Raw genomic sequence first — 8,743 nt, 5'->3', positions numbered from 1 at the left:
AAAGGATCAAATAACCTATGGGGCATTAATAGGATCTATTCTTTTAATGTCTTCAAGGAACAACCAGAACGTTTTAAGCAATTTTCAGTATGATGATACAAATAATTGAAACAATTATCTTTCAAGTTTCCTGTCTAACTGGGTATTTCAAACAAAAATGCTAATATTGCTGAAGTGAGTTGATACATGCTCTGAAATCCCCACATCACTTGACACCTCTGGGAAATTTAAGTGGCCTTCATATTTCAAGCTCATTAATACCAGTGGAAATCATACCTGCAATAAGAGAGATGAACTTTCAGCACATAGGAAGCTGCCTTTCCATCACTGATGAACAGGGTGTAACAGAAAGGTGACTCCAGGCTGTATGTGAGTCGTAATTCCTGTCATGTAGTTTTGTTACACTCAGCCAGTCATATACTTTTATTTTCACCTCTTTTGGGCAACAATAGGAATTTGTGAAATGGTTTTTGTGGAGTCAAGAGTAAGTCTGTGGTTGGCATTATGAATCTCTGATGCCATGGCCAGAATCTCTGCCTACCTACTTTCTCTATCTAAATCAGGACACATCTATTATTGTATCACTGGAAAAAACTGAGACAGATCATAGAGCTGAACATAATCCAAGATACACATAAAGCTATGAGTAAAGTTAATGTACAAAGTGTATATGGAGTGTACAATCTGTGTACAGTGGTAGAAAGTGACCCACAAATTTGGCTAGGACCTAGAGAATAGCAAAAGCAAAGAGACAAATACAATCAGTGACAAGTCAGTGCACATGACTAGTTTGAAACAAAATATTCATAAGAAACAGTTTTCCTGGTGTATTACTTGTTTTCACGCTGCTATAAAAGATACCTGGGACTGAAGGCCAGGTGTGGTGGCTCACGCCTGTAATCCCAGCACTTTGGGAGGCCAAGGCGGGCAGATCACCTGAGGTCAGGAGTTCGAGACCAGCCTGGCCAACATGGTGAAACCCTATCTCCGCTACAATACAAAAAAAAATTAGCCGGGAATGGTGGCGCATGCCTGTAATCCCAGCTACCCAGGAGGCTGAGGCAGGGGAATCGCTTGAACCCAGGAGGTGGAGGTTGCAGTGAGCCGAGATCGTGCTACTACACTCCAGCCTGGGCGACAGAGTGAGACTCCATCTCAAAAAACAAACAAACAAACAAAAAACAAACAAAAACAAAACCCCAAGACTGGGTAATTTATGAAGAAAAGAGGTTTAATTGGCTCACCGTTCTGCAGGTTACACAGGAAGCATAGCGTCTTTGGCTTCTGGTGAGGCCCCAGAAAGCTTCCAAATATGGCGGAAGGCAAAGGGGTAGTGAGGCTTCTCATGAGGCGTCTCACGTGGCGGGAGGAGGAGCGAGAGAGCAGAGTGGGAGGGTGCTGCATACTTTTAAACAAACAGGTCCCATGAGAACTCACAATCACGAGAACAGTACCAAGGAGGACGGTGCTAAACCATTCATTAGAAATCTACCCACTGTGATCCAATCACCTCCCACCAGGCCTCACCTCCAATGCTGGGTATCACAATTCGACAGATTTAGGCTGCGACACAGATCTCAACCATATCATCTGGTATTAAATCCAGAGAGATATTTGTGCTGTGGGTCTTTATAACATTGAAAAATGTATGACAGGGAATAACGTTCTCAAAGCCATGCTGGCAGTAAAGTACAATAAGTAGCTAGTTTCCTAGGACTCTTTTTTATGACATACTTCAATGTAGGCTGATAGAATTATGTCAAAGGGGCTGGGCCTAGTGGCTCACACCGGTAATCCCAGCATTTTGGGAGACTGAGGCGGGCATCTCTACTAAAAATACAAAAAATTAGCCGGGTGTGGTGGCGCGTGCCTGTAATGCCAGCTACTGGGGAGGCTGAGGTGGGAGAATCGCTGGAACCTAGGAGGTGGAGGTTGCAGTGAGGCAAGATCATGCCACTGCACTCCAGCCTGGATGACAGAGCAAGACTGTCTCAAAAAAAAATTTTTTTCAAATTATATCAAAGGGTAATTTCATTAAAGTAATTCTACAAAAAAACAAAATATATTGAAATTGTTCATACAATATCTTGACTATGCAAGAGGAAAGTGCAGGGGAGAACCCGCCATAAAAGCAGATGGTTGGCTCCTACCACCAGCTCTACCAATACCACAGATGCCACTTTCCTCCCCGTGGCTGCTCCCTCGCCTTTCCTGCACAGTGGGAGGATGAAGTCAGTGGTTCCCCAGTCCAGTTAGCACAGGAACTACCCAGAGGGGTCAGAAGGGAGCCAACTGGGGTGAGAGAGTATCTGAGTTTCCTCTAAACACTGCTCAACTCAGCTCCCTCAGGGGTGGAAGCTGCTCTCATAAATAAAAAGTCCATCTTTGGTTGGCAAGGCCCCTATGTAGCTTGGAAACCAGAGCCCCAGCAGGTGGATGCCCTCCGACACTTAGTGCTGACTTGGAAGGAATTGCAGAGATGACAAAAATGTGATTCCATCACTCACTGCTGCCCTTGTGTGGTGAAGGAAGCATCCCTTTTCTTTTTGTCACATCACGCAAGATGGATGCTGTTCACATGTGAGAATTACTCCCAGGGGAGTTCCTGCCAGCTGTAACTCATCTTCTCCCACTCAAGAACGCATTAGGTTTTGCAAGCCCAAAGTTATGCAAGGCAGGGGCTCATTGTGAATCCATGGTAATTTATAAAATTACTAAGTCACTGCGAAGCCTCAATGTTTTATTAGTAACACATTATTTGTAACATAGTTCTCAACAAATTAAGTCACCACATTGTCTTCCAGACTGAGGTTAAAGCTCTCAGACATCTGTGCCTACCACCTAGACTACACTACCCTCTCAAGTTCCTAAGGGACTCTCTAACCAGCTCCTAAGGGACTGGGAGAAAACTGCAACTGCATTTCAGCACATTTATTTGAGTAAGGAAGCAGTTTGGTACTTCCTTTTGGTGTGAGAGGCCACAGGGCATAGTGGTTAGGAACAAGGCTGTGGATCAAACAGCGGCCCCAGGCCCAGCCCCTCTTCTCTGTTCCTTTATTAGCTAAGTGGCCCTGGGTAAGCCATATAATCTTTCAAACAATGGGATTAAGATTAGTACAATTACTGTTAACTCACAGAAATAATAGAGAAAGAAATGCAAAGTGCCTGGCTCACACCAAGTATTTGGTAACTACTAGTTACTTCCATTCATGTCACCTGTCACCTCCACCCTGTGGCAAGCTCCTTGAGGAGCTTTGTCTTGTTTTGTTTCCTTATGCTTAGCACAGTGCTTGGCACAGGATTGTTCTCAGTGTAGGTTGCTGAATGGATGAATGCTTCCACCTACTCATCCATCCACGTAACATGTATTGAGCAGCTAAGTGCCAGGTGCTGTTCCCTTTACTGCAGACGGAGCAGTGAACAAAACAGCAAGGTTCTGGTCTCTTGTTAACTATGTTCTAATGCGGGAGAACAGACAAGTGTGTACTGGGAAAGAGGGAGAGAAATAGAGTAACTAGAGCAGAACTGAGGGGGCCAGGAAGGCTGAGGCGGTGGGGTGGGGGGCTTGCTCTTTTATATATCACAGAAGGTCTCCCTGAGGAGGTAACATTTGAGCAGAGGCTTAAAGGAAGTCAGAGAGCAAACCACAGGAATATTGGCAGAAGGCATGCTTCAGGCCCAGGGAACAGCATGTGCAAAGGCCCAGAAGCAGGCACACGGACGGCATTTTTGAAGAAAAGAAGGCAGGTGTAGCTGGAATGATATGAGTGAAAGGCATATCTCTTTTTCTATTCTGGTCAAAATGAGCACACAACACAATTCAGAAATTGAAAAAGATGTATTAAAATATTCACAAAAATACAACTGAAGATCAAAAAATAATAATGAGCTTGATGGTTTTTCCCTAGCTGATATATTTCCATTGAAAAACTAGAGATAGTTTGAAATTTCAATCTCTAAGTAATGCCTTTTGAGTGCTCCCATACAGAATTAGCGCATAATTTTAAGACGACCCTGTTTGCCAGGACGAAGACATGGAGAGGGCAGATCTGCCCTTTAGGCAACCTTAGTTCGTTATCTGCAACCAGGAAAGGAGTGCTGAGGCACAGGGAAAAGGGGAGCCAAAAGGGCTGCAGGGGTGGGTGTGCAGGGCTTGGGAAGAGGTCCTGCCCTGAGAGGCTCATCTCAGTGTGAGCAGCTTCCTTCAGGGAAACCTGTCCTGGCAGAGCACCATGCTGGCAGCTGCCCTTGCCTGGGGGGAAGGTTGGTGAGAACTGGTGAGGATTCTCTGCCAGAATGCCAGGGCACTGACAGAGTTTGAGGTGTCTGGTTGGGCAGGAGGCCAAGAAGTCGGGCTGGGGAAGGGAGTGGTAAGGGAGGAACAGGCCTCCAGGTGTCATTCGAGTGAGTGGCCCCCACAGCACCAGCTTCACCAACACATGGTCCCGGCACCGCAAGAAGAAGTGAAGGCTCTTGCTCTCAGGGAGCTCCGAAATGTTTCATTTATTCACAGGAACTGTTGAGAAAGCAGTGAAAAAACAATGCCCCTTTTCTCTGTAAAAAACGACTGTAAGGAAACATGACACAGGCCTGTCTACAATGTGTGTCCTCTGTACCTCAAGCACAGCCCTGGTCAGCTATGTGGTTTTCATGGTGGCAAAGGCTCACCAGGAGTCTCAGCTTGAAGGATGGTGACAATCTCAACACCCTTCCCCTCCAAACATAAGAGGCCTTCCAAAGGCTCCTATAGTTTTCAAAATAGATGCCCAAAAAGTTTTAGGATGCAAGGCAGAGTTGACCACTTTGTGGAAATGTCTCAGGGCCAGCACTGTGTGTCACTCTCTTGGGCTGGGCCTATGAACATGGAAGGCAGCAGGGCAGGCGTTTTTTTCTCCATTCCACACAGAACACAGAGCAGACGCTGCCCAGCTTCAGACATGTGTGGTGACCAAACCTGATCCCTGTTGACTCACACAGATGTGGCATGTAAGGTGGAGCGTTACAAGAATAACAAAAATAGCTCCTCAAAAAACAAAAGGCTTCATGTATGCAACAGCATTAGTTTTGAAGCTCATATGCCCTTTATCTTACCACCTTGTGCACACCTCAAAATCTCAATCCTGTTTTATTCCCTTTGTGAATTCTGTTGGAACTCAGCCTTCAAACATCCCCAGAAGATGACAAGATGAGAAGAAAAAGCAGCAGCTCATAATGGACTCCAAACTACAGGGAGAAAAAGTAACATTGCCCCTCACTCCCACTCACCCCAAACACGTTCTGCAGACCATCTAGACAGTAATTCTTTCCATAACTGTGGGCTTTCGAACAATTTTAAAAGGGGGGAAATTTAAAAAAAAATTCAGAAAATGGGAGAAATGACAACATAAGTGTTGAATGATCTTCACCACACTTTCCATTCCCAGTAAAAAGTAAAAACTCATAGATTTTAAGTGCGGTGGGGAGTAGTGAATAGGAGAAAACAAGTTTTAGGGAAGGACAGCCAAACTGTCTAATCTAGGCTCTCATTAACCTCAACAGTCTTTGAGGCACCATGAAGCTGTTATAAAGCCATGACTGATGCTGCCTCTTGCTGGAAGCATGACTGACGCTTTATAAAGAAGGTGATTCTTGCCAGCTGCAGTGGTGCAACTATAGTTCGTTCCAGCTACTCGGGAGGCTGAGGAGGGAGAATCACTTGAGCCCAAGAGTTCAAGGCTAGTCTGGGCAACATAGTGAGACTCTACCTCAAAAAAAAAAAAAAAAGCGAAAGAAGGTGATTCTCTAGAGAGCGAGCTCTGGGAGATTGGAGAGCGGCAACATAATGATACCATTTCTGCCTACTTAGAAGGAAAGAAACTCCTCTCCTTTAGCTGTATGGTGACTGTTATTTCAAGCAGAAAGGACATCAGCAAAGAATAAAACCGATACTTTTTACTCTCCACGTTACAAAAGTTCTCAAGCAAAGCTTGGATTTTCTACTTAATCAGTATTGATCCAACTGTGTCCAGAATGAAGTGACCTTCGGCATTTATCCTTTGCTAATCTTGCTATTATGAATCCAGAAATTGATATGACACATTTCAAGGGTGCAAACTTAAAGTAAGTCTACACAACATGTAAGGCTAACAATTGCCCCATATTTTAGTGAGAAAAACTTCAAAAAAACTTCTCAAATTGTTTTCAAGTGGCATAGCCAATGGGTATTTTTTAAAAGCGGCAGACAAATAAATGGTACTGATACTGTGCTAAAGGCCACCCTGGGTATGCTTCCATCATAGCATCTCCATCCTCCAACTACAGTAAATGCTAAGACTAATCAGTCTTAAGCCCTTAGATTAAAAGGCCATGTCTACTGGAAATACTACAGGATCTGCTATTGTCTCCATTAAGGCAAACCATTTCTAAATGATGGTGAAAGGAATGTTTCTGAAATCTCCCAATTGTAAATGACCTGAAAAGAAAGTACAAAAACAGCAAGACAATGGGTACATATGTAGAATCATACCATCTTTTCATCATGCAACACTGGCTCCTCATATCAGGATGACTAAATAGAATATTTATACATATCCTTTGTACACATCTTTCTCTCCCTCTGTGAGTACACGTGTACTTGTCCTTGCCTGGGTCTCCAAGGCTACATGTGGTAATGGGCTACATTTTCTGCACGAGAGTCCAGTTTGGTTTTGTTTCTTGCTGAGGATATGTTCTAGGTATTCTCTTAATTCTTTCGGATATCCGCATACACCACAGACTCTGACTTGTTAATCTTGTCACTGTGATGTCCGCCGGAGTGGTCTAACTGTGCATATATGACTGGGCCCTGGAAAAGGGAAGCAGAAGGATTAGAGGACTGAAAACGCTGGCGGTTCCTTCAGCTACAGGCATAGAAGCAATGATTAACGTGATCACATCAGGGTTCCAAAGCAAAGACTTCCCTCTTGAATGTCTTCAGGAAGACTTCTTATGGATGATACATCCAGGACTGACTTTGAAACAAGATTGGACATACGTTGACAATAGTTAAAGCAAGTACATGGGGCTTTGTTACATTATTCTTTCAAACCTTTTTGATGTTTGAAAATTTCTGTAATAATATATTCCTTCTTAGGAATATCTCTTATCTTAATAGCTATCACAGAATTCCTCAGCTCTTACAATTGGGGTAAGAGTCTTAAGGACTAAGATGGGAACTTCCACGCACCTGAGACCCACAGAAATCATGAGCTTCAGAATAATCAATCCATGCAAGAAACCAACATATTTGGTGCCACCCAAAGATACAATCAATTTGATCTGGTCACGTTATACAAATAGGTATAGTTTTAAACAAATAGTTTAAAAGCACTTCAAATATTCTTCAATACAACTACTTACAGCATAATTCTTTTAGTCTGAGCGTATTGTGACCAATACAAATATTGCTTCCTTGATTTTTAATATCAGATAACTGTTCTTCCTGTTTTAAAATAAAATTAAAAAGAAAAAACAAAAAGCCACAATCTACACAGATATAAAGAAAAACCCTAAATGGAGTAAAGTAGAAAAGATCCTCTTCTCAGCCTCAGCAGTAAGGAAGAGGTTACAATTCCAGGGAATTGTCAGGGTCCCATTCAGGAGAGCAAGGGAAGGTTGGGTGGCCTGGGGGCAGAGCGAATTCCCTAACTGTTGGGGGAAGAGGTCAGATAGGTGGCTGCATTTCATGACTCTTTCAGTCTAGACTCTTAAAATTGTAAACAACAACAAAATAGCCCTGGTTTTAAAAGAAAGATTTAATATTACCCAATGTCAACTTTTCTCCCAATCTAGGGGAACTCTCCTTGAGAAGTCTAATAACGTGCTTAAGCTTTCACCTTTGAAATCATAAGCTCAATAGCCAAAAGCACGTGGTTTAAAATAAACACACTTACCCTCATCCAGGAGCCCTAACAACCTGTGTCCTTAGTGTGTAACCTGGGGTTCTGTGGAGTTCAGCTACTCCCACATCTACAGAAGGGACAGGCCCAGTTGTAAGGGCTATACAATGGTGCATCTAAAAGCGGAGTTAGAAAATAACACTCGAGGACTAGAGCCATTTGAATGTTGGCAGATCTGCAGTCTGAATTATGATATCGTCTTTGTTGAACCTTAGAGAAGAGCACTGGTCACGTGGCCCTGGGCACATTTGTAAATTTCTAAGCACAAGTTTCTTCATCTCTAAAATGGTACTACTAATAATATCTACATTTTTGTTTTTTGTTGTTATGAAAATTAAATAAGATGATACCTATAACTTAGGCAGTGTCTCACAGACAGTACTTAATACATGTTAGTTATTATTATGAACGTCTTGTTACACAAACATACTTTAAAATGCACTGAGGTAACTGGTCAAGTAAATTAAATAGTCAAACTCTGTGTGTTTATCTTTAGTCTATAATGGCTGTCATAGGAAATATTAACAGATCACATGGTTAATAATCATACAGACCCTCTATATTCATCTCAGAAAGCTACAAGTTAAATGCTAACCCCACCAAAAAACAAAAGGAAGTTAAAAAGACTGTTTTCGGCCGGGTGTGGTGGCTCACGCCTGTAATCCCAGCACTTTGGGAGGCCGAGGCGGGCGGATCATGAGGTCAGGAGATCGAGACCATCCTTGCTAACACGGTGAAACCCCGTCTCTACTAAAAATACAAAAAAATTCGCCGGGCATGGTGGTGGGCGCCTGGAGTCCCAGCTACTCAGGAGGCTGAGGCAGGAG

The 8,743-nt window shown here is 43.2% G+C and overlaps 1 protein-coding gene across 4 annotated transcripts in view, besides 1 other annotated feature; it reads right to left on the bottom strand.

Annotated features, from left to right (window-relative positions):
* Positions 1,912 to 2,060: a silencer, noted in NCBI's record as "fragment chr1:167761820-167761968 (GRCh37/hg19 assembly coordinates)". NCBI's record gives its function as "represses an EF-1alpha promoter that drives an FKBP-Casp9 reporter gene in an ReSE screen in phorbol 12-myristate 13-acetate-treated (for megakaryocytic differentiation) K562 erythroleukemia cells {active_cell/tissue: K562(+PMA)}" and the evidence as "EXISTENCE:reporter gene assay evidence [ECO:0000049][PMID:32094911]".
* The window catches only part of MPZL1 (myelin protein zero like 1), a 69,938-nt gene continuing 63,918 nt past the window's right edge, over positions 2,724 to 8,743 (bottom strand). For all 4 annotated transcript variants that reach the window (XM_047433610.1, NM_003953.6, NM_024569.5 and 1 more), the window contains one exon: positions 2,724 to 6,823. In XM_047433610.1, the coding sequence (XP_047289566.1) occupies positions 6,722 to 6,823 (102 nt within the window). In that variant the 3' untranslated portion in view covers positions 2,724 to 6,721. The remainder of the gene's footprint in view (positions 6,824 to 8,743) is intronic.

The sequence above is a fragment of the Homo sapiens genome, chromosome 1 (genome assembly GCF_000001405.40).
Source record: "Homo sapiens chromosome 1, GRCh38.p14 Primary Assembly".
In the NCBI taxonomy this organism is placed as follows: domain Eukaryota; kingdom Metazoa; phylum Chordata; class Mammalia; order Primates; family Hominidae; genus Homo; species Homo sapiens.
Note: the sequence above shows the minus strand (reverse complement) of the source record. Positions and strands in the feature narration are given on the sequence as shown.